General features: G+C 55.9%; 2 protein-coding genes across 32 annotated transcripts in view, besides 11 other annotated features; one reads left to right on the forward strand and one right to left on the reverse strand.

Moving 5' to 3' along the window:
• VDAC1 (voltage dependent anion channel 1) overlaps window positions 1–9,936 on the reverse strand; it is a 142,670-nt gene extending 132,734 nt beyond the window's left edge. For 3 of the 4 annotated variants that reach the window (NM_001401009.1, NM_001401010.1, NM_001401011.1), the window contains exons 1-2: window positions 1,276–1,540; window positions 859–1,026 (exon numbers count right to left, since the gene is read on the reverse strand). The gene's annotated coding sequence lies outside the window, so the exon portion shown is untranslated. Of the gene's footprint in view, window positions 1–858; window positions 1,027–1,275; window positions 1,541–8,997 lie in introns of those variants that run through there. The other variant, NM_001401008.1, reaches the window with a different exon arrangement.
• Window positions 482–531: an enhancer, noted in NCBI's record as "active region_23125". NCBI's record gives its function as "activates an Ori minimal core promoter by ATAC-STARR-seq in GM12878 lymphoblastoid cells {active_cell/tissue: GM12878}" and the evidence as "EXISTENCE:reporter gene assay evidence [ECO:0000049][PMID:35858748]".
• Window positions 825–1,693: an enhancer, noted in NCBI's record as "H3K4me1 hESC enhancer chr5:133441120-133441988 (GRCh37/hg19 assembly coordinates)". NCBI's record gives its function as "activates a minimal SCP1, AML or CMV promoter by ChIP-STARR-seq in naive H9 embryonic stem cells {active_cell/tissue: H9 hESC(naive)}" and the evidence as "EXISTENCE:reporter gene assay evidence [ECO:0000049][PMID:30033119]".
• Window positions 2,678–3,225: an enhancer, noted in NCBI's record as "H3K4me1 hESC enhancer chr5:133442973-133443520 (GRCh37/hg19 assembly coordinates)". NCBI's record gives its function as "activates a minimal SCP1, AML or CMV promoter by ChIP-STARR-seq in primed H9 embryonic stem cells {active_cell/tissue: H9 hESC(primed)}" and the evidence as "EXISTENCE:reporter gene assay evidence [ECO:0000049][PMID:30033119]".
• TCF7 (transcription factor 7) overlaps window positions 3,614–27,260 on the forward strand; it is a 39,993-nt gene continuing 16,346 nt past the window's right edge. For 11 of the 28 annotated variants that reach the window (XM_006714678.4, XM_047417633.1, XM_011543606.2 and 8 more), the window contains exons 1-3: window positions 10,077–10,551; window positions 10,717–10,783; window positions 11,305–11,429. In XM_006714678.4, the coding sequence (XP_006714741.1) occupies window positions 10,303–10,551; window positions 10,717–10,783; window positions 11,305–11,429 (441 nt within the window). In that variant the 5' untranslated portion in view covers window positions 10,077–10,302. Of the gene's footprint in view, window positions 9,750–10,076; window positions 10,552–10,716; window positions 10,784–11,008; window positions 11,483–19,013; window positions 19,153–27,260 lie in introns of those variants that run through there. The other 17 variants (XM_047417636.1, XM_047417640.1, XM_047417634.1 and 14 more) reach the window with 6 other exon arrangements.
• Window positions 5,849–5,948: a silencer, noted in NCBI's record as "silent region_16354". NCBI's record gives its function as "represses an Ori minimal core promoter by ATAC-STARR-seq in GM12878 lymphoblastoid cells {active_cell/tissue: GM12878}" and the evidence as "EXISTENCE:reporter gene assay evidence [ECO:0000049][PMID:35858748]".
• Window positions 6,069–6,118: an enhancer, noted in NCBI's record as "active region_23126". NCBI's record gives its function as "activates an Ori minimal core promoter by ATAC-STARR-seq in GM12878 lymphoblastoid cells {active_cell/tissue: GM12878}" and the evidence as "EXISTENCE:reporter gene assay evidence [ECO:0000049][PMID:35858748]".
• Window positions 9,714–9,943: an enhancer, noted in NCBI's record as "active region_23127". NCBI's record gives its function as "activates an Ori minimal core promoter by ATAC-STARR-seq in GM12878 lymphoblastoid cells {active_cell/tissue: GM12878}" and the evidence as "EXISTENCE:reporter gene assay evidence [ECO:0000049][PMID:35858748]".
• Window positions 10,034–10,153: a silencer, noted in NCBI's record as "silent region_16355". NCBI's record gives its function as "represses an Ori minimal core promoter by ATAC-STARR-seq in GM12878 lymphoblastoid cells {active_cell/tissue: GM12878}" and the evidence as "EXISTENCE:reporter gene assay evidence [ECO:0000049][PMID:35858748]".
• Window positions 17,406–17,907: an enhancer, noted in NCBI's record as "H3K4me1 hESC enhancer chr5:133457701-133458202 (GRCh37/hg19 assembly coordinates)". NCBI's record gives its function as "activates a minimal SCP1, AML or CMV promoter by ChIP-STARR-seq in primed H9 embryonic stem cells {active_cell/tissue: H9 hESC(primed)}" and the evidence as "EXISTENCE:reporter gene assay evidence [ECO:0000049][PMID:30033119]".
• Window positions 22,873–23,222: an enhancer, noted in NCBI's record as "active region_23128". NCBI's record gives its function as "activates an Ori minimal core promoter by ATAC-STARR-seq in GM12878 lymphoblastoid cells {active_cell/tissue: GM12878}" and the evidence as "EXISTENCE:reporter gene assay evidence [ECO:0000049][PMID:35858748]".
• Window positions 24,519–25,341: an enhancer, noted in NCBI's record as "H3K4me1 hESC enhancer chr5:133464814-133465636 (GRCh37/hg19 assembly coordinates)". NCBI's record gives its function as "activates a minimal SCP1, AML or CMV promoter by ChIP-STARR-seq in naive and primed H9 embryonic stem cells {active_cell/tissue: H9 hESC(naive and primed)}" and the evidence as "EXISTENCE:reporter gene assay evidence [ECO:0000049][PMID:30033119]".
• Window positions 25,342–26,163: an enhancer, noted in NCBI's record as "H3K4me1 hESC enhancer chr5:133465637-133466458 (GRCh37/hg19 assembly coordinates)". NCBI's record gives its function as "activates a minimal SCP1, AML or CMV promoter by ChIP-STARR-seq in naive and primed H9 embryonic stem cells {active_cell/tissue: H9 hESC(naive and primed)}" and the evidence as "EXISTENCE:reporter gene assay evidence [ECO:0000049][PMID:30033119]".

The raw sequence follows: 27,260 nt of genomic DNA on the forward strand, positions 1-27,260 counted from the left end.
CTCCCCCACCTACCTCCTGCTTCAGCTTTTTCCAAAACCATGGGCCAGGAGGAGAAAGGGGAGAAAAGGAGAGAAATTCTAAAATTCTAAAAACAAAAGACCAACTTGACCACGATGGGGAAACCCTTTAAGATGTCGGTAATAACAGAGCAGTGAACAAAGACTAAAAACAGCAAAGCTGACAAGGAAAACCACAGGGGCCCACCAGTGACCCCAAAGCGAGGGGATATACTTTCACCACTCACAACGGATGCACTCGGAGGAGCTGCCCTGCCACGCCCAATCCCAGACAGCTCTGAAGGCTGCAGTCATGGGGGCAGGGGGTCCCAAGCGGTTCCTTGATACTGTCTCCCGTAAACAGCATGCTATTCCCTGCAAGTGAGGCGGCACTCTGACGCCCCCGCCTTGGGACAGTGACTTGGACCCATCTAGCCTACCTCCCGAGAGCTCCTGAGAGCATGGCCCTGTCTAGCCCTGGTACCCAGCAGAGGCTGGGAAAGAACTCGCTCCGTGAATGGATGACCATCAGCAACCCTGAGATGCCCCACCTCCACCAGAAGCTCTGCAGCCCCAGGCTCTGTCCCCCTGCTGGCTGATAACACCACCCCCATTGATATCCCAGGAGCTCCTCTGTGTTAAAGGAGGCCAGGGGAGGCCTCCAATAACTTGGGGTTCCTGCTGCCCCCCACTATCCTCACAAAAGGAACAGGGCGAGCTCTCTGTAGGCTGCAGAACTATAGTCAGTTTGGAGCCCCAAAACTTTGGAGCCCAAAAGTTTGAGTTTTATGACCTGGGCGAGTCACTTCCGCTCTCTGAGCCGCAGTTTCCACGTCTGTAAAATGGGGTTAAAAGACCTACCTCTCTGGGCTGCTGTGAGGATGAGATGAGATAACACACAGGAAGGTGTTCTCGCTACATGAGTGTTCCCAGTCATTCTTAGGGCCAAGAGGTATTTACTGGATATCTGCTCTCTGCCAGGACCTGGCTCTGCCCAGGGGACCCAGTCATGAGCAAGACGGAGGAGTCCTGTTGGGACAAAACAGAAAATGAGAGTGAGCAAAACACCCTAGGCTGCAGCCACCACCCACACCCAGGGAAGCTGCATGGGGACCCGGGTCTCCCAGCTCCTGTGCCTTGCTCCTGGAGGCCATCTGGGGTGGCCCTGCTCCCTTGGCAGTGCCCCTGCCCAGGCAAACACAGCCAACCCCTCATCTGACTTTGGGAGGTGCCCACACTAGAAACTCCCTCTTTCTAGGACCCCATGATGGAGCTTACTCAGCTGGAGGGAACAGGGCTGCAGTTTGCCATCGAAGTCACTCAGCAAATTAGTCAGAGGAATCTCTCCGGCCTGAGAGGGAAGGGGCCCTTCTTGGCCCACCCCTCCTTCCTCTGCCGGCTGATGTGTTGTTGGTCAAAAGTGATCCAGTAGACGCTTCACCTCTGTAGAGAGGCTGCCAGCCCTGGAATAGGCAGGCCCGAGTGGTGGAGAGCCCCGGTCCTGGAGACAGACCATCCTGAGTTTCAACCTTTGCTCTGCCTTTTACTAGCTGTGTGACCTCAGGCAAGGAACTTGACCTTCTTGGGTCCACTTTCCCTAATAATAGTCATTCCAAGCTCATGTGGCTGTGGTGAAGACCAAACAAGGTAATTGATGTGAAGCCCCTTGCATAATACTAGGCATGGGTGAGCTGGGAAGTTAATTTGTGTATATTTAACAAACACAGGACCACAAACTCTTCCAACTACGTTAAAAACAGTAACCATTTAATCCTTACAAGATTCCAGTGAGACAGGCAGTGTTGTCATCCTCTTTTTTTTTTTTAAATGGAGTCTCATCCTGTCACCCAGGCTGGAGTGTAGTGGCATGATCTCAGCTCACTGCAACCTCTGCCTCCTGAGTTCAAGCGATTCTCCTGCCTCAGCCTCCCGAGTATCTGGGATTACAGGTGCGCGCCTCCACACCCAGCTAATTTTTGTATTTTTAGTAGAGATGGAGTTTCACCATGTTGGCCAGGCTGGTCTCCAACTCCTGACCTCGTGATCCACCCGCCTCAGCCTCACAAAGTGCTGGGATTACAGGCGTGAGCCACCGCGCCTGGCCCGTCATCCTATCTTACAGATGATACCAAAGAGGGTAAGTGACAAAGAGGGTAAGTGACTTACGAACCAAAAAAGGGTAAGTGACCTGCCAAAGCCACAGAGCTACCAAGTGGCGGGAGCAAAATGGAAACCCAGGCTCTCTTCTCTCCTATTTCTTCCCATCTTTCTCCTTCCAGTTCCTGGTTTTAGAAAAAGTTGAAGCCTGTGAGGGGTGGCTGGCTTAAGAATAATCCCTCCCTCTGGTCTCTGTCCTCCCTGGCCCCAGAAGGCCTAAGGCTACCAGCCACTCCACTAGGCTGCCTCTCCAAAAAGAAGGTGATGTTGTTGGTATGAGGCCCCCTTGAGATCAGACTCTTACAGAGACCACCCCTGCTCTAGCCTCCAGCCCCACTTTGGAGCCAGAGGTGTCCAAACCTTTGCCCTCACACTCACCTCAGAGCCTGCAGCTGGTCAGATGCCTGCAGTAGGCTCAACCGGGCCAAGTGATGGGCAAAGCCGCACAGGAAGTAGAAGGGACTGCTCACAGCCTCAGAGGGGCCAGGAGGGCAGACAGCCCCTCCGTGGCTTCCCTCCCTAGAGAGCCCCCAGCCTCTGCTCATACACCTCTGGTGACAGGGAGCTCACTGCCTCTGCTGCAGCCCGGCCGGGCCATGGCTGGCCAGCTCTGACTGCTAGACGTGCTTCCTCAAGCCGAGATGAAATCTCTCTGTGTAATTTCCTCCCATTAGTCCTGTCTCTGCCCCCAGGCCCCTACATGGCCAGCCGGCTCCTCCAACCTGCAGACATCTGGAGATGGCCATCTCTTGGCAAGAGGAGTCACCACTCAGGCTGAACGTCCTGGCAGCCTCAGCCTGGCCTCAGAAAGCAGGATTCCTGGTGCCCTCCCCACCCTGGTCCCCACTCTCCACCCATGACCCCTGCAAGATTGCAGGATTGCAAAGGCAGCTGCTTGCTCAGGCAACAGATGCTACGCACCATGACAGGCCTGGTCCTGAGCTCAGCCCTGCTGCCTGGGAACAATAAGTGACAACAGTCACCACTCAGCAAGTATCTACTCTGCCCTAGACATTGGGCTAAGTACTCTACAAGCAGGAACTCATCCCATCTTCCCAGCTCTTTGAGACAAATATTACTCTTACCCCCACTTAACAGATGAGAAAAAGAAGGCTCCAGGAAGGAGGTGGCTTGCCCAAGGTCCCGCTCACACTGAGTAAGTGGAGAAGCTGATTTCACACCCAGGCTATGAGTTTCAAGCTCAGCTCTTGACCAACAGAAAACAAAGACACAGTAGCAGAGGGACAGGAGACTCACTCACAGGAAACAGAGGCCAACAGCTCAGGATATGATGGTGGCTTCAATTCTAAAGGCAATGGGACTCCTGAAAGGAGAAAGTATCTCTGCAGACCTGGGGAGGCGGGGAGGCTTCCTGGATTAGGAAGAGACCAGGAATGGGCCTTAAAAAGAAAAAGACGCCTCAGACTGCAGAATGCCCAGCTAACAAACGAACTGGAAACCCGTCCGTCCCCACTCCCAACCCCCACCCTGGGAGCCTGAAGAAACACATTGGACCATTATGCAACAGCCCCATCCCCTGGGCAGAAAGCATTTATTAAGTGCCACAGTATGCTTGGCCCATGTTAGTATCCAGCAGGGCCACAGATGAAGGTGCCATGATCCCAAGAAGTGAGAATCCATTTGGGCAGGCGGGAGGCCTGGTTAGAGCTGTGGTGAGCAGTGACTACAGGATCTGGTACAGGTCCTCTTCAAATTTACCCTGCCCACCACATCCCGTTGCTCCTTCCCCTACTACCCCTGTTGTCCTGGGCTGGAGAGGGGTGAATATGGAATAAGAGGGTGAGCTTTCCTCGGGGCACTGAGCCAGGAAAGTCTTGAAGCCCCATGCAAGGCAGTGGGTCATATACTGGGAGGTAGTCTATTCTAGGAGAGAGGGCAGACAGGGAGAGCCAGTGTCCTGGGGAGGGAATACTTGGAGGAATTGTCCTAGGTGGCAGGGGTTGGAGGACTGCAGGAACTGAGACATGAAAAGGTGCCATTCTAGGCAAGGTTCAATGGATGGCCAAACTCTCCCCCAGGGCCTAGTTCACCTAGGTCCCAGGGACCCTATGGGGTCAAAGTCCACCATCACCCAGAGTGTGGCTTACTGCCCCACCCGGAAAAGGCCACATCCTCTTTAATCCCTCTTCTCTCCTAGGCTGACCTAGGACCTCCTTCCTCCAGGAAGCCCTCCCTAACTGCCATGTTGTGTGCCATGACATGCATAAAACAGCCAGGAGGGTTTCTGAACCCCTGGCTCCCAGAGCCTCTTTAGCGCCTGATGTCTTCCACAAGATGGTGAGTTGCCTGACGGCAGGTACGGGGCCTGCTAACTACTTCCTGGATTCTAAGTGATCACTGCTATGGATGATCGATCCATCCTTCCATTCAGCCATCCATCCAAAAACTTCTGAGCACCGCAGGTTGCCAGTTCTGTGCCAGGCCCTAGGGATAAGCAACAAAGCCCTGTATAGCCCTGTCTTAAAAAGCGATATTGAATAGTTCTTTCTCAATAAGACATTCCTCTCTCAGTGTGTCTGAGGCTGTCTCCCCAGGCCACATAGGATTTAGTGCAGGCGTATTCCTCTGTGAAGCTGCAGGTGACCCCCACATGAACACCAGGCCTTGGTGTGCTCCACCTTCTGCTGCATTTGTGACGCCGCTTGTCTCTCACCTCTGGTCTCAAGGCCATAAGCTCTTCATGGCATCCTTAGAACTTAGAGACACCTGGCCAGGTGCGGTGGCTCACGCTTGTAATCCCAGCACTTTGGGAGGCCAAGGTGGTTGAATCAGCTGAGGTCAGGAGTTCGAGACCAGCATGGCCAACATGGTGAAACCCCATCTCTACTAAAAATACAAAAATTAGCCGAGCGTGGTGGCAGGTGCCTGTAATCCCAGCTACTGGGTAGGCTGAGGTAGGAGAATTGCTTGAACCTGGGAGGCAGAGGTTGCAGTGAGCCGAGATCGTGCCACTGCCCTCCAGCCTAGGCAATAAAAGCAAGGCTCCATCTCAAAAAAAAAAAAAAAAAAAAAAGAACTTAGAGGCATCTGCAGCTTCCAGGTGAATTTGGGCCCAAAGAAGGCAGAGGACTGACTTGACTTCACTCGGCAAGCCAGTGTTGGGTCAGGGACTAGGACACAGGCTGGCACTCCCGACCCCTTGGACAACTGGTACACCCGGCAGCCTAGGACCTGGCACACAGTGGCCACTCCACGTTTGCCTTCGCTGTCGCCACCTTGGTGTCTCTGACTCTAGACTCCTTCCTGGGGAAATTCAAGCCTAATGTTTCCTTCTGGTGAGGGAACCCCAAACCCATTCATCAGGAACAATGGCTGGCACAATGTGGGAAAAATAACCCATGGGAATAGTCCTAACAAGCCCTGTGAAGCTCTGGGGCAGCTCTTCTCATAATTTGCCCATCACCTCTCAAGCCAATTTGGCCAAGTTTCCTTAGGATTTCATCAGGAAATATGAACTGCCAATTTTGTTATTAAGTCTTTATTTTAATAACAATTCTTGGTTATTGTATGAAGTCCGAGGGATGGAGCAGGAGGGGAGAACCCACAGAAGAGTCCTTCCTTCCTTATGAAGAAAGAACTGACCCCAAAGCCCCCTTGCTTCATTTTAAGGGCAGCTGCCTGGTACCTGATGCAGAGTAGCAGCATCCCAGCAATTGTGTGTGCTTGCCTTTCTGTAGGTCACAACCACCTACATGCACACACATGGACACACACGCCCCAACAAACAGTGAAACTACACAGAGTTTCCAGAAAGCAAACCGTGTTTCTAGTAACAAACCACAGTCTACCTCTAGGACCTGTAACCGGGTTTTGCCCTGAGAGGATGCTCCATGGGAAGTGCTCCTGCCGAGAGCCAGCAGCCCAGCCTCCCGGCGGCTTTGGGCAAGCCCCAACAGGATGCCAGGCGGGCTGGTGAGCAGGAAGAGACGCCGCTCACAACCTCTCCTTGCTGTAATTTACTAAATCCATCTGGGGCTCCTTTGAGACGTTTTCTGGAAATGCCACATTTCAAGGGTCTCCCTGTCAGAAAAGGTCAGAGTTCACGTGGGCCTTTCATGTTAAAGGAGCTTGAAAGAAAAGGAAAGGAAATGTATATTTTCAGCTCTAGCCATGATTAAGTGGGCTCAGGCCATGAGAACATTCAGATGATTTACATGACGTTACATGAAGAGCCAATTAGCCTAACAACTTCCGAAAAATATCTCGTTCAAGAGCACCCATTAGACACTTGGAATGCACCAGGCTGCTGTTCTAAGCTCTTCACTAGGGTACAGTGGTTCATCTCGACTGCACTCCAACAGAGCAGGGCAGGCCTGCGTATGACATCCATTTAACCTATGGGGAGACTGAGGCTCAGAGAGGGTCAGCAATCTGCCTGGGGTCCCACAGCTAGTAAGTGGCACGGCAGAGATGGAAACTTAAGACTGCCCAAATCTAAAGCTGGAGCTCATCTGCTCCAACAACCCTCAAGCCTTGGGAGTCCTGACTTAGTCCTGTTTCCAGCATCTGACTAGTGCAAGCTCATTTGCGTGAAGATGAAGCCTTATTAAATCACCAGCCCTGGCCTGGTCTGGATGAATCCAGAAGACTCTGGGGCCTCCTTGCAGCTGGTCCTGGTCCTGAAACTCCCCGGTCACCTCCAGGGGGGCAACCACAGCAGATTGCACTCACTACCCTGTGGAAGAACCCCAGTGTCTATCATCTGTGTATGTGATCTGAGCCAATTCCCAGAACAGGTGGCCTCGGGTGGGCTCAGCAGAGAGATGGTACACACTGAGATCTGTCTGGTTCAAGGGAGAGATTCTAGGCCCTCTCTGCCAGCAAAGGTCTTGGGCCCCCTATACAGACCACCAAGATGATTCCCTAATCCTGTTGATGGCCCCCTTCATGCAACATGAGCCACCCAGAAAGTCAGGGCTCCATATTAGTGACAGCTTATTTGTCAGCATTTGTCTGCCAAGACCACAAGGCAAATAAGGACTCCCTCTGGAATTTTATAATGGAACACTAGAGTGTGATAGTTAGGATGTGGGCTCAGGAGTCAGACTGCCTGGGTTTCAAATTCTGACACCTTCATTTTCAAGCTGTGAGAACTTAGGTGACTTCATCTCTCTGAGCTTCAGTTTCCTCATTAGTCAAATGGGGATACGAGTCCCTATGTCACAGGGTTGGTGTGATGATTAAATGAGATAATGTGTGTGAAGCTCTTGACAGGATGCCTGGCACATAGTAATCACTCAGTATATGAGGTTGGTCGTTGTGTAGACGATGGTGAAGGAATCAGTGCTGACTAGACCAGGGACTCCTGTGGGGCCGCACCAACTTCTGGGGAACAAATCAGAGCTCTTGTTCCTTTCCAGCTTTCCAAACCCTCCTAAGCCATCCAGGCCCACATGAAATCTACCTCCTTCAGGAAGCCACCCTGACTACTCTAGTCCACATTGATCTCACCATATCTGAGCTCTTTCTGTCCATTACCTGTATAGACTACTCTAGCACCTAAATCGGCTCTAATAACTCTTCAGCTTCTCAAAGCAGCCAATGGCTCCTGGAAGGCAGACACCTCTAGCCCTTCCCTCTCCACAGCCCAAGCCAGGGCTAGGTACACAGTAGATGATCCCTTAGCAAGCCTTCAGACTGATTTCAGTGTGGCTGTGGATGCCTGTGACTCAGCCCTTCTCTCCCTCACGCCTCCTCACAGTCCCACTCTCCCTACTCACCCACCCTCTCCTCTGGTTCCAGCCAGCAGGGTGGGGAGTTGGAGCTATGACCCCATAGGACAGTTGTTCCCAGACTATAAAATGTCCAAAGAAACTTGAGGGTGGGGGAGTTAACAGATGGGGAAAAAAATGTTCCTTATGTTCTTTCACCAAATAAAGACATGAAAAAAAACACTTGTCCCACCACCATTTTAGTAAAGAAAGGATGTTTTCACACCAATAAAGCAGTAAGGGCATAATCCTTGATTAAAGGCTAATACGAAGCTGGAAAGTTTTAACCTTATTGAGAAAACAAAACAAAACAAAAAGAACCTCACTGTTGTTGTGACTTTTCTCCTTTCTCCAAGGACTGGAGAACACTTCAGCCTCCACTGATCTGTGTCGGTGGAACTCATGGGTCTGGGGACAGCTATTCTGGAGGACGTTCCTGCTGAACCAGGGTTCCCTACAAACACATGAGGACCCCTAAAGCCATTGGGTTGGGCAGATCCGGATTCCCTTTCAGCTGTCCCAGAGGAGGCTCACCCTATGCCAGACCCTACCTATAACCTCAGGAGTTGAGGTGGCGGAGGCTCTGAACTCCCGTCCCTGTACCTCTCCCCTCCGGGCAGGGCCGAGCCCCCCCTTCCCCGCCAATCCGGAGCAGATGAGGCGAGACTAAGCGGCAAGCCCACCCTGGGAAGAGGCTGGGGAGACCTAATGGGCAGGGTCCCCCTCATCTCCATCACCAAGCTGAGCACTCGTGCCCATGCCACCCCCCAGCCCCAGCCTGGGGAAAGGAGGAAAAGTGGGCACCCTAGCCCGGAGGTGGCGGGGGAGGGGGGTGTGGGGGCTGGTGTCCGAGACACCCGGCTGGGCGGGCACAGATAGGATCTGAACACAGGGAAGCATGGCCTAGCTCTTTGATCCACAGCCAGCCACGCTGGGCCTGGACCCGGAGGGAGGCACGGCTGTCTTCCGGCCCGGCTTTGCACCGCTGCCAGGGGTCCTGTGGGGCCCTCAGAGGGAGAGGCGTCCAATACCCGGCCCTCCCCCAAATACCCTCTATCCCAACTGCTCTCAGAAGAGGCGTGAGCGTCTACAGTGAACCCAGCACAGAAACCTGCTAGGGGAGCTGCTGTTGACTGCATCGCGATCCAAAGGACCGGCGTCTTTTGTAGATGCAGGGGCTGAGCCAGGCCAAGCGCGCCGTGGAGGCCCGCGTGGACGCAGACCCGGGTGCCATACAGATGCGCTGGAATCCAGGCACTTTCCCGCGCTCCGCAAATCTAGATGTTTCAGCCTGGATCGAGCGAGGGTTAGAGGGTTAGTCAGGCCAGGGTCAACTTCAGAGTCATGGGCTCCCTAAATGCGACTTCTAGGGTTGAGTTGCTGTGGACGAGCGACCCATGTCGGAATCCCGCGCCCACGTGGCTGCCCAAAGTTCCGAGTCTCCGGGCTGCAGGTTCTAGTCACGGAACCGAGTTGGGAGAGTCATAGGGGCTGGGACTTGGAGGATCGGCTGAGGTCCGGTGCTCTTGGCTGTGTTCGCGGCTCGGAGCCGTCGCCTGACTGAGGGGCCCGTCACAGATGTGTGATGTATAAGCTCTGCACGCAACAGGAGCTCAATAAATGTGCGAAGGGGGGTATACTTATGTTCGCACTGTATGCAGGCGGCCTAGAAGGAAGTCCCTGATTGGCACAGGGATGGAGGATGGGGCAAGAGCCGCAACAGCGCCGCGGAGTTCCAACGCTGCCGGTTCCCTGGGGTACGAGCACAGCCTCAAGCAGCCTCAAGCCCTAGGAAGCCCCCAGTTCAAAGCACAGGGCGCATTGGAGCCTGGGCACGATACAGTTCACACCACGGCTGCGATGGTAAGCCACGCCCAAGTCCCAAGGGCCTAGGGGACCCCCGCCCTCCACAGCCGGAGGAGAAACCTGGGCGCAGAAAGCAGGGGGAATATCTGGTTGTAGGTGAGTAAGCGGGGTCAGGAGTTCCCGTTAGAGTCTCTGCGTTTCGGGAGAAGGGTGATCATTCCCAGGCTTGTCCGACGTCTCTCTCAGGGTGCGCTCCGGAAGAGCGAGCCCTTTAAGGCTATGCCGAGTGGGCGCGTCCCGGCCTCTCCCGGGAGAGGAGAGGCGGGGCGGACCTGTGTCCCGCCCCCGGCCCGGCCCGCCCCCAGTGCCCGCCCCGCCCCCGGCACTCGGCCGGCGGCGCCTTTGATGTTCCGACCCGCCAGCTCGCGGAGCCGCTCTGCCCCGCGCCCTAGCCCGCGCCTGCAGCCCGCCCAGGCGGAGTCAGCCCGCGCTCCGCCCGCCGCGATCCGAGCTCGGAGGTTCGGACTCCGGGCTCGCCGCCCCCCGGGCCGGCTCCGCGCCCCGCACTCCCGGCGCCCAGCGCCCCGCGCCCCGGCGGGCGGAGCGCACCATGCCGCAGCTGGACTCCGGCGGGGGCGGCGCGGGCGGCGGCGACGACCTCGGCGCGCCGGACGAGCTGCTGGCCTTCCAGGATGAAGGCGAGGAGCAGGACGACAAGAGCCGCGACAGCGCCGCCGGTCCCGAGCGCGACCTGGCCGAGCTCAAGTCGTCGCTCGTGAACGAGTCCGAGGGCGCGGCCGGCGGCGCAGGGATCCCGGGGGTCCCGGGGGCCGGCGCCGGGGCCCGCGGCGAGGCCGAGGTGAGCCCCCGCCGGCGCCGGCTCCTCCCCCGCGGTCGCCGCGCCGCGCCGCCCCAGTTGCGCGCGGCCCTCGGGGTCTCCAGCGCGCAGAGCGTCCCTGCCCCGGCGTCGGCCCCGACCCCCGCGGTCCCACCGCCCCTCACTCCCCTCCGGTTCTCCCTCCAGGCTCTCGGGCGGGAACACGCTGCGCAGAGACTCTTCCCGGACAAACTTCCAGAGCCCCTGGAGGACGGTGAGTTTCTGCCCGGCCCGGCTTCCCTTCGTCGCGCTCAGGCCCTGGCCTCGGTGGGACGGGGACGCCAAGGACCGCGGGGAGCCGGGTGCCTCCCCCACCGCAGCTCAGGAGGCGGCAGAACCCAGGGGTGGAGAGTGGGGGGCGGGCTTCCCGGGCGCCGCCGGGTCGAGTCACTTCCGGTGCCCTGACCTTTATAGGAGTAAACAGACCCCCGCCATCCCCGCCTCCCCTCCTGCCCAGGTGACTGACTAATCCGCCGCCTTCAGGAGACAGAATTGGCCAAGGTTTCTTGGTTGGAGGGCGGGGGGTGGGAGGTCAAGTAGGGGCCACCTCGGGGAGGCCTGCCCTCCAGGTCCTTCCCCTAAAACTTGGCACTGCCGATACTCCCAGCCCGTTCCTTCCCAAGTCAGGAACTTGCAGGGGACCCCTTGGCAATTCTTTTTCTCTCAAGAGCAGACAGCCTTCAGTCCCAGCCGCTGCCAGGGCTGGTGTGTCTGACCCAGCTGTGGTTTTTCCAGGCCTGAAGGCCCCGGAGTGCACCAGCGGCATGTACAAAGAGACCGTCTACTCCGCCTTCAATCTGCTCATGCATTACCCACCCCCCTCGGGAGCAGGGCAGCACCCCCAGCCGCAGCCCCCGCTGGTAAGTGGACCCCGCAGCCAGTGCCGCCCTGTGCTTGCAGCCTCCTTGACCAGGTAGGTGAGGCACCGGCAAGAGACTTCTGCCTGGAACAAAATAGACGAGACTCCTGTGCTGGTCTTTTCTCCCATACACACCCGGTGGGATCTGAACCAAAAGGAGAACTTTGCTGAAGGAAGGAGGGGCCGCCCTGGGGCACCCCCCTGCCCTCTGCCTCTTGGCTTTTGTCTTCCCAGCTTGCTCATAAGCAGGTGCAGGCTCTGTCCTGGTGCTGGGTGATGCCAGGGTGGGGTCTTCTTAGAGAACTTTTGAGCCGAGACCACCCTTGCTCCTCGCTGCTCTGATCTGAGCTCAGAGCTTTGCAATTAACTTTCTAACTAGCCCAGGAAACCCTGAGCCTCCTTGGCGCTTGGAGGAATGGGCAGGAAAGCTGATCTGTTCAGGTCCCCTGGTTGTGCAGGAGAAACGTGCTGTGTTCGGTCGGCTGTGTCCTGACGGGCGTGAGTGTACCGTTGCCAAAGAAGGACCCTGAACACCATGTGTGGAAAGTGGGTTCTTAGGAAACTGGCTTGGTCTCAGACATACCAGGAAGGGTTGGCAAAGGTGCTACAAATCAGTGATGTTGAGAAGGGACCAGTTTAATTAATTCGTGAATTAAATATTTTTAAGTCCCAGTGCTTTGAAAAGATTTCATGATCTTTACAAACCATGCCCATTGGTACAGATGACCTAAAGTGTGAAGAGCCTATTCTGAGTGTTTTGGAGCAGTACAGCTGCGCTTTTAAAGAAATTCCTATTCGTGTTTCACACTCTCCTCAGTTGGTCCAAGTTGGGGTGAAGGTACGTGGAAGGTTTGGAGGACTGTGGTAAGTGAGTGTTGGGTGTGAATGTAAGCCCAGTGCAGGTGGGGCTGGCAGGCTGGAGGCTCGCATGGCTACAGTGGGGTCACCAGAGGGAGGAGAGTTAAGTGCTAGGCTATTTCAGACCAGGAGTGAAGAGGGTGGTTCTGAGAGCTGCTGCATGCCAAGCCAGTGGGAATGAGAAGACATATAGGCTTCTTTCCAGAAGCCTAGGCTGGAAAGCCTATTCTATGGCTAGCTCTAGAAATGAGCTCCTTGCCCTTTGGGCCCTTATCTGTAAAATGAGTATGTTTTTCGAGTAGTCTCTGTATCCGACTTTCTGCTCTGGGGTGGCTTGGTATATGAGGTGGTTCACTTCCTTCCAAGTCTGTGAGATGGGGGGTGTGCCCCCCAGCATTCCCCCGCTGATGTAGTGACTACATCCAGAGAACTCACCCTGTGTGAGCCCATGCTTAACAAAGATGCGTTTTGGATCCCTACAAGATGTAAATAAACCCTTAGATTTGGGACTAGGTTGACATAACCCACCAGTGCCAAACTTCCAACAGGTGTGCCACTTGCATAGGGGCTGGGGTCACCGTGGAACCATGATTAGACAAAAGGCCTAGGCCCAAGGCTCTACTCCAGCCTCCCGGGGCTCCACAGCAGCACAGGGAAAAGGCTTCCTTTCGGAGGTCATCTCATGGTGTGGGCAAGTGCTGGGAGAGTATCTGGAGCAGGGAGGGCTTCGTTCTGCTGTCAGGGTATGGGTGATGGGACCATTTGGTGTCCTTTGGGCCACATGGGTCAAGAGTAGGCTCTAACAGGACAGTGGAGGAGGCACACCACCACTGGCCTGGGTCATTTATTTTTCACCTTTCAGTCTTTCTCAAGCTACAGCAGATACATTTCTATGTATCGCACCTGCTCCTATAGGTACAAATCCCCTTGCCCTCCTCCCCGCGCAGCCACAGTCTCCACTGTCTGGCTTCTGGCCACACAGGAGGAGGAAAAGGACGGGCTGTGACACTGGCTCTCTGTGCCCTGGCCTCAGCTGCTCTGTGGGGCTGCAGAAAAGGACAGAGGCAGAGGTGTAAGTTGGAGTGACACTCAGTGAGGAAGCTGTATGTGAATGTAGGAGAACCTCTTTTAAGCAAACCTGCCAGTTATAAACACATAGCAAGTCAGAGCATTTGCTTGCATTACCTGAAGACGTGTGGGCATTGAAAATGTGGTTGGGTTTTACCAAGCAAAGTGAATCCACCCCCACATTTTAGAAGCATATTTATTATTGGATTCAAGGTTCATGTGTCTGGAACCAGGAATGATCTTCTTTTCTTGGGTCAGGAGCCCCTTGCAAGGGCCCTGAGGAAAAACTGCCTTTGGAAGATTTTTCCAAAGCTGGTCACTTTCCCAAGCCCATCTTTAAAGGACAGACAGCTTGCTGCTCAGGCCCTGCCACAGGCCTTAGATCCAGGCCCCCTTGCCCTTTGCCCGGCCCTCTCTGAGGGCACCTATGTGGTCAACACTTATGCTGAGAGGCTTGAGGCCAGTCATTGCACCTCCCTCAAGAGCAGGGAAAGCCTATACCAGGGACCTGCTCTGCCCATGTGTGGGTAGGATGCCCATGTGGCTACTGTGTTAGAGACCTCAAAACAGGCCAGCTCGAACCTTGCCCGGAGCAATAGGCTGAATGACCACCCCACAGCCAACTGCCACGGGACACATTTTTTTTTTTCTTCCAAAAAGGTTCCTTCTTTTTGGTAGTTGGCTTCTTTTAAGCTTGTTTGAGGAAGAAAAAATTAGGTCAAAGTTTATTCCATGAACACTGTCAGGCACCTGATTGATGTAGGCTTGCAGGCAGTTACTGGCCTAGACCAGTAACCAGGGTTTTTTTGTTTTGTTTTGTGTTTGTGTTTGTGTTTTTTTAGAGACAAGGTCTCACTCTGTTGCCCAGGCTGGAGTGCAGTGGTGTGATCTTGGCTCACTGCAGCCTCAAACTCCTGGGCTCAAGCCATCCTCCCACCTCAGCCTTCTGAGTAGCTGGGACTACAGGTATGCACTACAATGCCCGGCTAAGTTTGTTTTTGTTTCTGTAGCAATGGGTCTCACTGTGTTGCCTGGACTTTGGTTTGGTTTTCTCTGCTCTGCTCTGAGACCTGAAAGTAGGTGGAGGTGGTGAGTGGGGAGATAGTGAGCTGATCTTAGGCTGTACTTTGGGGGGATTCTGGGATGGGTAAGGCATCATTCCTTAGGCAAACTCAGGCTCAAACTCAGTGTAGTCAGTCTTGTCATATCCAAAATTGATATGAGGCTGCATTGAGCTGTGGCTTCTTCTATGAGCTCTACTTGGAGTCTGTAGCTTAGACAGATGCCGAGCCTTTTGCCATTTTGATGAAATATCCAGAATAGACACATCCATAGAGACAGAAAGAGGATTAGTGCTTGCCAGGGGCTGACGGAAGAGGGGCCCAGGGAGCGACTGCTAATGGGTATGGAGATACTTTCTGGGGTGATGAATAGGTTCTGGAATTAGATCGTGGTGGCAGCTGCACAATCTTATGAATATACTAAAAGCCACTGAATTACATAACCTTTAAAACAGTGTATTTTATGATATGTGAATTACATCTCAAATTAAATAAAAAGGCTGAGGCCTTTGGCTGTTGCAGACTTGGGGCCATGTGTCCCTGTCCCTGATCTCCACAGTTGTCCAGGTGCCTGGGGATGCCCCAAGCCAGGGGGTCAGGCATCAGGTGTCAGGTCCAGCAGAAGGAGCCTCACTGAGGCAGTGGACTCATGTTGGGGCTCCCGGCAGGTCCAGAGCGTGCCTGGGGGAGCAGGAGGTGAGGGTATGAGCAAGGCTCCAGCAGAGGAAGGAAGTGCTGCTGATGCACGGCCAGCCTGTCCGAGGAGCTTTGCAGAGATGCATAGGTGCAGGAGCACCCACCGGCCTCCACACGCCCCAGAGCGAGCTGTGGGCCTTGCTGGGAAGCGTCAGTTATTGGTGTTGAGCACCAGCCCTGGTTGCAGTGAAGCCTGTTAGGAGGGAATTTGGCACCAAGCTTGGTACCAGGTACTGGGCCCCCAGACTGGAACCAGGCTCTACCCCGGGAGTGCCCAGCTGAGCCGAGGAGACAGATAGAGACCTGAAGCAGAGCTGGCGAGAGGAGCGCTGTCACTGAGGTGTCCCGGGCAGAGCCGGCCCCAGCCCTGGCTGTGAAGGGGGGCCCACTGAGGAGCACTCTGAAGGCCACAGGGTGTCCAACAGATGAAGACAGAGGAGGGACTGGCAGGCCCCAGGCTTCCCTCTGAACACATCCCAAACCTCCCCACTACTCTGCAGTCAGCACCCAAAGCCCCAGTCATCGCCATCTCTCACCCAGACAGCAGCAACAGCGTCCAGGGGACCCCTCCCTCACCCCTAACCCCCATCCTAAATCACAGTCCAGGCTTCACGTAGCAGCCACAGGGGGCCTTTAAAAACAGAGTCAGATCACATCTCTCACCTGATGAGACCCCGCATCAGCTTCCCATTGCTCTTGCAGTGAAGTCGAAGCCACTCATCACAGCCGAGTGCCTGGGTGGCCCCCGCCAGCCGCCCCTCATCACCTGCACCAGCCTCTTGCTGTCTCCCTGACAGCAGTCCCCTCCCTGTCCTAGGGGGTCTTACAGCCAGCAACTTCTTTCCACCCCAGGACTCTTGCACTGCTTCCCTCCGCTCGGAAGTCTCTTCCCCAGCCCTGCACATAGCCGCCACCTTCTCGTTCCTCACTCAGGGCTCAATTCAGATGTCTCTGCCTCAGGGAGCCTCCTCTGACCATTCCCAGTAGGACCCTCCTCATCCCTTGGCTCCAGCTGCCTTGCCAGCCCTGGCAACTCTTCGGGCTCAAACGGTTGGCACTGCTTTACAATGCACTCACCATGCTTAACCCTAAGAAAGGCCGGCTGTTCGTTTCCTCCTCTGCACAATGGGAGTGGTGAGCCCTCCTCCCAGATTTGGAGTGAGGACCAGCAGCAGTGCCAGGGAGGGGCCCAGGGAGGTGCCAGTGCGGCCTGGCCAGGGGGAGTCAGCCATGACTGAACCCTTGTCCCTTGCTGGCCTGGCTCCCCTGGGGCCAGTGGTTGCTCAGTTGTGGGCCCCACGTGGACTTGGGCACGGAGGGGTCTGGAGGTCTGAACCCTGGGACTGGGGACTCAGGTGTACAGGCCGCCTACTTACTGCCCTGCCTGACCCAGGATTCTTAGGAGGGGAAAGTGCTATCCCTGGGGCCAGGCAGGGAGCCACAGCCACTCACTGCATTCTCAGAATTCTATCCTACCACCCCAAAGATTGACCTGAAAGAGACTCCCCTTCCTCAGTCATGTAGAAGTCCTTTACATGAGATGTTAGAAGCTTAAGCTGTTTTGTTTCAAAAAAAAAAAAAAGATTGGCTGGGTGCGGTGGCTCATGCCTGTAATCCCAGCGCTTTGGGAGGCCAAGGTGGGTGGATCATTTGAGGTTAGGAGTTCAAGACCAGCCTGGCCAACACGGTAAAACCGGGTCTCTACTAAAAATACAAAAATTAGCCGGGCATGGTGGCACACGCCTGTAATCCCAGCTACTCTACTCAGGAGGCTGAGGCAGGAGAATCGCTTGAACCCGGGAGGTGGAGGTTGCAGTGAACCAAGATTGCGCCACTGCACTCCAGCCTGGGCAACAGAACCAGACTCCTCAAAAAAAAAAAAAAAAATGCAAAAAACCCTCATGGCCATCAGCCTGGGAAGCCGTGGCCACCCTGTGCGTGCCCCTCATTCTTGCCACGATGCCACAGGTGTGGGCAGCCTCCTTGCTTGCAGCCTCCCCTGTGGCTCTGGCTTGCTCCCGGGCTGCCTTCTTTCCCAGTGTGAATGATGTTCTGTACACATCACTCTTTCGTTTCCACCTTGACTATTTTCCTGAAGCATAATACCCAAACAGAATTATGGGGTCAAGAGGCAGGAAGAGTCGAGGCGTTTTGCTTCCCTGGTGCCCCAGTGCGCTGTAGGTTCTGAGCTGTGAGTGTCCCATGCTTACAGTGGCTCAGCACAGCTGATATGGAGTTCTGCCTTTGTTGCTCTGCATTGAATAGGTTTGTGGTGGGCAGTGCGACTGTGAGCTATTTTGAATTACCTTTCTTTCCTTGGAAGGCTGCGTAGTATTGGCTATCACATTTGGAAAATCTGCAGCCTCTTTTCTGCTGCTTCCAAGGTGGGACTTTGAGGGTGGCTCCCTCAAAGCCTTGATGCCTTTCAAAACCAGGAGAGCACCATGAAGGGGGCCGATCCTGCAGACCCCTGGTTAGAGCCAGGCTTCCTGCCCCACCCTGTCCTGGGGTCAGGGAGGGATGGCCGGGAATTTAGGGCGGTTTGCCCCTCCTCTGGAAAGTCGGGGTGAGTACTAGCTCAGCAGGGTAGGAAAGACCTTCCCAAGGCCCAGGGCTGGCAAAGAGCCCTGGATTGGTTGCTGAGACCTGGGATCCTTCCCCCCAGGCTCTACCAGGTTCCACCAAGCCAGTTTCCACGGCAGCACACGGGAATATTCATACCAGCACTGCCACCTCCTCAGCTACTCTGAGACTCAAGTGAGTGGGGCTGAAGCAGATGAGGGTGGCCCCCTTTCTGGGTCTCTGGAGACCATACCCCATCCCCAGCCCCTCCAAGGAGGGAGGTTTAGCTGAGCTTAAGCAGGGCTCTGGGGGTGCTGGTTTAAAGTCGCATAACTGCTGAGGTCAGGCAGGTCAGGGGTGGGCCCAGAGCCTCCTGGAGGTGCAAGGCAAGCCGCAGCCCCCCTGAGCCTCTGCAGGCTGTTGTGGTCCCAAAGCCATACAGTCACACCCCTCACACCTTGTGACTGGTGCTTCCTGCTGCTGTGTACAAACAAGGCTCTGGTGGAGGAAACAGGTGTTTTATCAGGTCACAGGGGCCCCCACCCCCAATGGTACAGTGCACAGATCCTCCTGCTGCAGGTGGGGACAGGGAGGCCAGATCAGGGAAGGGACTTATCCAAGGCCCCTTAGAGGAGTGGTCAGAGGGAAGGCGTTGAGTCTGCACGATGCACCCTCTGACACTGTATCTGCCATTCTTTGGCTGGGTGGCCCTGGGTGAGTTACTTAGCCCTCTGGGCCTTAGTTTTCTTATCTAAAACTGAGGATAACGAGGGTTCTCACCTGTATGGGTCAGTGTGGAATGGAAAGAGACAGTGTGTGAAACACCCAGCACACAGTAGGTGCCTCCTGAGTGGCAGCGGTGGTAGAGGGAAGGCCTCTACCAGGAGTGTGAGTGCTCCAAAAGCTGAGGTGGGACTGGGGCCTTGGCTGCACTTTCCTTTCCCAGCTCCCCTGGGGCAGTGCCCTCTGGCCTACCCTACCCTTGGGCCCTCAGCCTGTCGATAGACTACACATTCTCTGCTGTAATCTTGGGTCCATACCCCGACTGAGCCCCTTCTCTATACTTCGCCTGGCTCAGCATGTGGCGGGCTCCCTCTGCCCTTCCAGAGCTCAGTCCTGGGAGACAAAGAGACTTTCACTGGGAGCCTCTAAGTCGGCTCTGAGATTCTGCTGGAGTTGGGAAAAGGGCACAGAGGAGGGAGAGGCCAGTGGGGGCAGCAGGGGAGGCTCCTGAGAGAGGGGCCTGCACAGGTGAGAGGGGGAGAACACTCTGGGTGGGGGCCCCACTGGAACAAAGGAGGAGAGAGGCAGAGGCTGGCATGCTCCATCAGCAGAGGGGCAGACAGAGGCCCAGGGTCTACGAAGGATGTGCGGTGAGACTGGAGAAGAAGGTCCCAGCCTGTGACCTTGGTGCTGGGGCAGCGCTGGTTCCAGAGCCTGGGAGAAGCTGATGGGCGCATGCAGCATGTTGGCATCATGGTAGGGCAAGGCGGTACCCACCCACAGATGGTGTGAATTGGACATGGCGGACAAAGGCGGGGAGAGCCAGCTGCTGGGGCAGGGTGGATGCTAGGAGGCATGGGGATCATGGGAGGAACTCGAACAGAGCCAAGGGAGAGGTAGGCTTTGGGTGGAGAAGACCCAAGGGTGTTGGGCAGTGCAAGGCAGGGGTACCTCAGAGGTGAGAACTTTCCATTTTCCCATCCTTCCATTTGACCCTCATGCTCTCTCGGGGTTCGGGATCCTAGGGTCTGGCCCCCTGATTACTGAGGGGAACTCTACCCCAGAGGTCAGTGGCTCGCTCAGGTCCCAAGGCCCATTGGTGACTCAGCCAGGGTGTGGAGAGCATCTCTGACCAGCTCTGTCTCTAGCAGAGCTCCAGGGTCCCAGGGGCTTTGGCAGGGGTGGAGGGTGGGCATCTCTGAGAAACCAGGACATTGTCAGCTTCTTGGTTCAGGCAGTTTGCTGTCCTGTTTCGCAGACCTGTCATGCTTGGGGTCTGGACCTGGGAAACCGCCTTCCTCCCTTAAAAATGTGTGGCCTGCTTCTGCTGCTGCACACAAGCTGTCTACAGCCTGGGTGGGCTTGTCCTCCTCAGAGGGTTCCCCCTTCCCCTGCTTTCTGCTGGAACATGGGGCTCCTCTTGCCCAGTTCCCCAGGGAGTAGAGGGTCTCTGTCCCTTGCTGGATAGGGACTCTGGCCTGGGGTGAGCCTGAGTCTGGCCTTCTCCTGGGAGGAGGTCACCTGCCTGGGCTCTGCTAGCAGACTACTCTAGAGCCGGAGCAAGCCTGGGGACACAAAGCCCTCACCCCGCAGCCCCAACTCCATAGCTAGAACTCCCTAGAGATCAGAGGAGCAGACACTCTGCCAAATAAGCTTCCTCCTAACCCCCCCGCCCTGCCCCCCATTAAAACCACTAGCTTGCTCTTCAAGGGCAGGAAAGCTGTCTGGGCCCCACACCATGTGCTTCCAAATGATGAGTGTGCGGCAGAGGCTCCAGGCATGGATGGGCAGGACGTGGCCCCAGGGAACAGTGGGTGTGGACTTTGGGGGTTTACACGGTTAGGCCTGCCCCCACTCCACCATGTCTGAGCTGGTTTGGGTGCCAGTGGTGGCAAATCACCTCCTCCCAGGAAACCCAGTTTTCCCATGAGGGCAGGGAGCTGTGATGGGAAGGAAGCCATCCCTCCCCCTGCTGTGTGACCTCACGCAAATCTGTGAACCTCTCTAGGTCTCAGTTTCTTAAATGGGGTAGGAATCCCTGGCCATGGAGAGGCCTGTGTGCTGGGTGGGCCTCAGCCGGGGTTTGCTGGGCAGCTCCTTGCAAGCATTGCTCCAGAGCCAGCCTCCCCACCAGGCAAGAAGGGGTCATGGGGAGGGAGGGACAGGTGATGGGAGTCTAGGCCGAGGGATTCTGACTAACTCTGACCTGGCTCTGGTGGCAGCGGGCCCAGCCTCCTGGCCTGCTGGGCCGCCATCTGAAACGCATTACTGATGCTTTGTAAACTCCACATCATTTGGCCACATGAAAGCCTGGGACTTAAAAATAGCTGCTCCCAGAGGACGCCCCGCATTGGTGGGGCTCAGCTGACCTCTGCACGCACACCCACCCACCACCAGGCCACCTCCCTTGCCAGGGAGCCCCGACTGGCAGGGCCCCACCCACTCACCCTCCCAGTGTGGGCAGCCACTGCCTGGAGCCAATTTATCTGGGCACAGGTCTCACTCAGCTGGTGAAAGCTTCAGGCCCTGTGGCTGTACCCAAGGCAGAATGTCTGGGAGAGCCAGGAGGAGGCTGCTGAGGGTGAGGTGGTGGTCTCAGGACCCTTCCCCAGGCTTGTCATGCCTGGAATGCTGGTAGGAACCTTATTGGAAAGCTAGTGGAACCATCTTACAGAAGAGGACACAGTGGCCCCAAGGAGGGGGAGCACTGGGAGGGTGCTAGTCTGGTGTTTACTTGGCCACTGTCCAATGCTGGACGAGAGTCACTGCCAACATGTTTGTGAGAGTAGGGCAGGGCCTGCCCGGGAGACCCCGGTGTCCGGTGGAAAACCCGCTAAGCAGGAGGCAGGGCAGCACAGGCCTCTGAGCTGCTAGGGTTGACTCTTTGCCCTGCTGTGTGGGTTCCCTCTCCTTATGGTCTCTATGACCAACTGCAAACCACTCTTTTCCCTAAAAATAAACATGCTTATGGGACTGGGGGAAGCTTTGTAGCTATCAAAAGAAATAATAGGGTGTTTTAGAAAATTACATTGTGTTTTAAATAACCAGCATGAAAGTCATTAAGTTTGAAGTTTCATTCAAATCAGATGGCTCTGTGGCTGGCGTGGTGGCCAGGCAGGCAGAGGTGGGTGGGCCCTCTGAGATGCTGAGAGGCAGCCTGTGGAGAGCCTTGCGGCAGTGGCAGCAGTGAGGTCTCTGCTGGCTGGGTACAGCCAAGGTCCAGGCGGGCTGGCCACCGAGTGCGTGCCTGGCTGCAGCAGCCACCCCAGAGCTCGCTGGCAGCCTTTGAGGCAGTGGGCATCCCCATGGGCGGGGGTGTGGGGACAGATGAACCTGGGAGAGCCAAGGCCACAGGGTCGATGGCCATGTTGCAGGGGGTGGTGTTAGGGATGGAGTTGGGACCAGAAAGGGCCGGAGAGGATCTGTGGGGCCCAGGCCACATCTGTTCATTTCACCACTGGGTTCTCAGTGCCCACCCTAGGGCCTGGCACACAGTAGGTGCTCAGTAAGCAGTTGTTGAAAGAATAACAACAACTACAGTAGTTCATGTGTCAAGCACTTCCCAAGTGCCAGGCCTATGCCAGGGGCTTTTACTCATATCAAGATTGTACAAGTCGGTAGGGCACAGTGCCTCACGCCTGTAATCCCAGCACTTTGGGAGGCCAAGGCAGGCGGATCACGAGGTCAGGAGTTTGAGACCAGCCTGACCAACATGGTGAAACCCCGTCTCTACTAAAAATACAAAAATTAGCCGGGTGCGGTGGCACACGCCTGTAATCCCAGCTGCTCAGGAGGCTGAGGCAGGAGAATCGCATGAACCTGGGAGGCGGAGGTCACAGTGAGCCAAGATTGCACCACTGCACTCCAGCCTGGGCGACAGAGCTAGACTCTATCTCAAAAAAAAAAAAAAAGATCGTACAAGCCAAGAAAGTAGGTATTATTGTGGCCTCCCTTTTTGCAGATGGGGAAACTGAGGCTCAGAGAGGATAAGGAATGCGCTGATACCTGGCAGAGTCAGGATTTGAACTTTGGTCTGTTTTACCCTGAAACCCATGCTCCTCCCTGCTCTATCCCATTTGCTGTACAATGTGTGGAGATGGGGGCACTGCGGGCCAAGAAGCTGGGTGGTACCCCCAGCACACTGTCAGGTTCATAAGCTGGACCCAGCTGGATTCCTCTGGCCCCAGAGAAAGGCCATAGTCCTCTCACTCCCTCTCCAGGGGCACCTCATAGCTCTGGGCCTGGGTCAGGGATGACCCCTTTCCTCCCCAGACACCTGGCAAGTTCAGGGCTCCCAGGGCCAAAAGGGCTGTCTTTCTTACTTGAAAGGCAGGTGCCCAGGGCTTCTAGAAGGAATGTTATATGGAAAAGTATCCGTAAATGACATTAGGATTGATTCCGATTTGGTGCCTGATGGAAGGACAGTTAAGACCTGTCTACAGGTGGATCACTTCCTCTTTCTAGTGTTGGTCCTGATGCAGCTCAGTGCCTGCTGTTGGACTCCTGGGCCAGGCACCCTCCTCTGTGTGATCCCGGGCTGGGCTAGGGGGTTTCCTAGGCTCTGAGTCATGGGAAATGGCTGGACTGAGGCAGCTGAGGGAGTCTCAGGGTATGGGTGCGCCCGCCCACCTTATTCCCCCGTGGGAAAGCCGCTTAGGAACCAGAGCCGCTGCCAGCCCCACTGGGGCACGTTGAGGGCAGTTTCTTCTTCTCTCGCTGCCCCGCCGCCTCCCATCCTCTCTGGTCATTGCGGGCCAGCCAGGAGCTCAGTGATCTGGCCTGACAGGAATCAGGCAGTGGTCCAGAGGAAATCAAGGGCTGGCGGCCCCAACCTGGCACAATGCTGGCGTTCCTGAAAAGCCTTTGTCTTGGGACATACTTGCTTTTGATTTTTCTCCTTTTGTTTCATTTTGTTCTTAAGTAAAAAAGGAATATTAAGAAAAAAACCACAAATATTAGTTCATCTAATCCTCACAGCAACCCCATGAGACCTGGATGTTTTACAATGGAGACCCCCAGGCATAGAGAGACTTGCGCCTAGTGGGTACTGGAGGAGGGATTTGAGCCCAGACATCTGACTCGGCGTTCGCTGTCCCTCCCCTTACACTCCGTTGCGTCTTTGGCCGCGCACGTGTGTTGCAGCCACAGCTGGGTGCCTGGCTCCCCCGTCCCATCCCTTCCCACTCCTCAACCCCAGTTTGGTATTTCACTCTCTGCCCTGTTTGCGTCATGCTACACCCAGGTGTGTTTCTGAGAGTTGTCTGGGGCAGTTTTGTGTGACCCTCCCTCACTCGCCTCATGAAGGGCTCTCCTGAGGCTCCCATGCAGTTGGCACTGCCCAGCCTCCTCCCTCTGCTCACACTGGGTGTGAGGGCTCGGGCAGCAGCACCCCAGGGCCTGGTGCCTCCAGGAGCTCCTTTCCACGCCTTGTTTCCCTTTGGATAAATGGCTAGACAGTCCAGACAGAGCCCCAGGGGTCTTGACTGGCTATAGCTGGGGGAGTGAGCGCTTCATGACCGTGGCGGCCTCAGGGCAGGACTGTCCTCCTAGGGCTGGTGCAGGCTGCGGGACAGAACACATGACAAGACCCCTGTCTTGTCTTTGCTTCTCAGAGGCTACTAGATTAAATTGGGGCAAGAATGCAGGGCCAAGGCTGGGGAGGTGATCTCCAAGGCTCTCTCCCTCTGCCCTTGAGCCCCTGCCTTTCTGGGCCTTGCCTGGGCTCTCAGCTCTCACTCTCGGGCTTGGAGCTGGACAAGCCGTGGCGAGAGCACCCCAGCCTCCGGTGGCTGTCCCACCCCTCCTCACACATGGGGCCAGGGAGCACCAGCCAGACCCGGTGGGAAGGATGACCTCTTGCTTTTCTTTTGGTCATTTATGACTGAGAATCAAAATCACCTCCTTCAAGGACAGAGTGCCCTCACCTAGGGCCAGGGGGAGGTTCAGAGCCACACTGCTAGCCAATTTGTTTCAAGAAAAATTCTTGGTAGGCTGCTGCCAGCAGAAGTGCTGCCTGTTGAGGCCTGTCACTGAATGGTAAAGATCTGTGGCCAAGAACCCCAAAGGGCCAGATTCTAATCCAGATCCATCACTGCTTGCTGTGAGACCTCGGGCAAGATTCTTAGCTTCTCTGTGCTTCACTTTCCTCGTCTGCGAAGTCTGTATGCACAGCACAAAGTGGTTGGGAAGACTGGTGGGATTCCGGCAGGGGTGGAGCTCTGCAGACTGAGACACTCAGTTGGCTGTTACTAGTGGGGGCTGCCATCTCTAAATCTGCACCTGGTATTTTCCTGCCTTTTCTGCAAAGCCCCCAGGGAAACAGCCTCAGAACTCCTCAAACACCTCCCTCCCCAGATCCCTGTTTTCCATTCCCTACTGCCAAAGACAGCGGAGCTATGAGGTTGTGCCTTGCCTCGGTCCACGGTGGGCTCCTGGATGGCTGGGCACTGATGGGGAGCTGCATGAATAACTGCCTGGGCTGGGGGTTGCCCAGTCTCAGGGCTGCTGTGTAGTCTCCAGGCTGTGTTGGTAGCATCAACTAGCAGCTCAGTTGCAGCAGCTCCCGGAAGCTTATATTTTCCTCTAAAAACATCCTGTCCTGAGGGGCGTTCACCTCAAAGTGGAGGAAGGAAAACGCAAGTAAACGAATGCATAGAAACCACTGGAGGCCATGGGCCACGCCACTCGGCTAAGTGGGGCTCAGTGAGTTCCGAGGGTGCCTCGGGCCGGGTTGGGCCTAGAGCAGGCCTGTGGTTTGCCAAGGCTGCATGCAGGGACTCCAGTCCCCACCTCCGCTGTGGCAGGCCCCTTTATCTGATGTCAAGGCCAGGCGGTGGGTGGACTGGCCACACGCACCTAGCAGAGCTCTGTGCAACTGTGGCAACAGCCTTGTGCCAGCAGGTGAGACTGAAGCCTCTTGGTCCAGGAGGGTGTGGCCTTGCCATCCCCCACCCCTTCCAGCTCAGGTGGCCACGCATCCACACTCTGTGCTTTTCTGTGCTTTGTGGTGGGCGTCTGGCACAGGGCATCCAGCACGCTGTGGGCAGGGAGCTTGCGGGCCGTCCTTTGGAGAGCACCGTGTCCTGGGCAGTGGTGCCTGGAGCGGGGGCTAGGGATAAAAGGGCATGAGCAGGGGCGCCTCCAGCCTGGCTGGCGCACTCAGCCCTACTGGAGTATATCTGCAGAGATGGGGTCTGCGAAAGCCCACAAATCGAGGCCTGGTCCATATTGCAGGCAAGCCCTGTCCCGCCCCCCAGGAAGTCGATTGTTGTAGTCTGAGGGCTTGAGGGGCATCCTGCTCAGCAACTGGGCAGACTCCTCGGCACAAAGCGCCATTGATGCTGGACAGTGGGGCCCTAGCTCTAGACACAGACGCCTAGGGAGCTGTGGGGCTGACTGGTGGGCCCTAGCAGTGCAAAGAAGGAAAGTGAGAACCGGAGGGGCTGTGCCAGGGGAGCTGGGCCAAGGGCTGAGACCAGCCTGCACTGTGCTTCCCAAGCCACTGCCCTGGCATGGCATGGCCCAGGTGTCTGTCCAGAAGAAGGGGTGCTTTTTCTAATTAGCACAAATGCCCCATGTGAATTAATGGCAGCCCTGATGTTGACTGGTCATTCTGACTCCCAAAGTATTGCAGGCAGGAGAGGACGGGGGTAGGAGGAGGCCAAAGGGTCTTAGGTACCAGGTAGGATGTCCTGAGTCCAAGTAGTGGCCCCAGCTCCTCCCACCTTCCTAACCTGTATGCTGCAGTGACCCTGTGCCCAGCCCCAGCCAGGGTGCCTTATTTAGTGCAGTCACATTTTCCCTAAACACTGGCTTACACACGCCTCCCACCCCACCTGCACTGGACTCAACTTCAAGGGCCCAGCTCTAATACATTCAATATAAATAACTCAGGGCAAAATCCCAGACCACAGGAAGGGCAGGACAGATAACAGTCAACTATAGCACAGTGGATCGGTGCTACAGAAGGAGTTGGGGATGTGAGCATGGCAAGGGACCCCTTCCTCCTCAGATGAGGAGGATAGCATAGACTTCTAGGAGGAAGTCTCATTTATGTGAGTCCTGAAAGATGGATAGGAGTTTGCCAAGCCAAGTGGTGGAAGAGTGCTCCAAGCGGAGGGAATCATGGCCCTCAGAGCCAGTGATGTGGCTGGAGCACAGAGTGAGAAGGGGAGGATGAGGCTGGCACCACTGAAGACCTGGAGAGCCCATAAAGGGCCCTGGCACTGACCTGGTGGAGGAAGGGCTGTGGGGCCACGACTGACTTTCTCACCTTACAGAGCCTTGCTTCCCACATGTGCGAAATGGGAAGAATGTATCATGCCCACCTCAAGTGGGTTGTCACACGTGGCATTTATGTTACTCAGTGTCACCTCTGTGTGCTTGGCAAACAGAACAGTAACCATAGCAATAGCCCACCTTTCTGTCTGGTCAGCCTCTGCTCTGGAGGTAGCACAAGGCTCAAGGTGGAGATCTGCCCTTCCTTCCATGGGCTTTTCCCCAAGGCCTCTCCCAGCTCCAGACCAGGCTTCAGGAGCAGCCCTCTGCTTGAGGGACCTGAGGGAAGAAGTCACAGCCCTGTGGCTGAGGAGGGAGGCATGCACAGGTTCTGGAGGCACCGGGATTCTAGAGGCCTTCATGCAACAAGCCTGCTGAGTGCAGAGCCCAGACAGAGATGACTAACCAGCAGACCCTGCCATCCAGGACCCCCAGGCCAACCTCTCTGCCAGCTAGGCTGGTGGCACCCCAAGCCAGGCCACAGGCCTTTCCACAAAGTGACCCTTAGACTGAGGTCAGGATGAGAGTGGGCCAGACTGGCCCAGAGCAGGAGGAAGTATGGAACATTGCAGAGGGAAGGCACCTGG

This window comes from Homo sapiens, chromosome 5 (genome assembly GCF_000001405.40).
Source record: "Homo sapiens chromosome 5, GRCh38.p14 Primary Assembly".
NCBI lineage: Eukaryota > Metazoa > Chordata > Mammalia > Primates > Hominidae > Homo > Homo sapiens.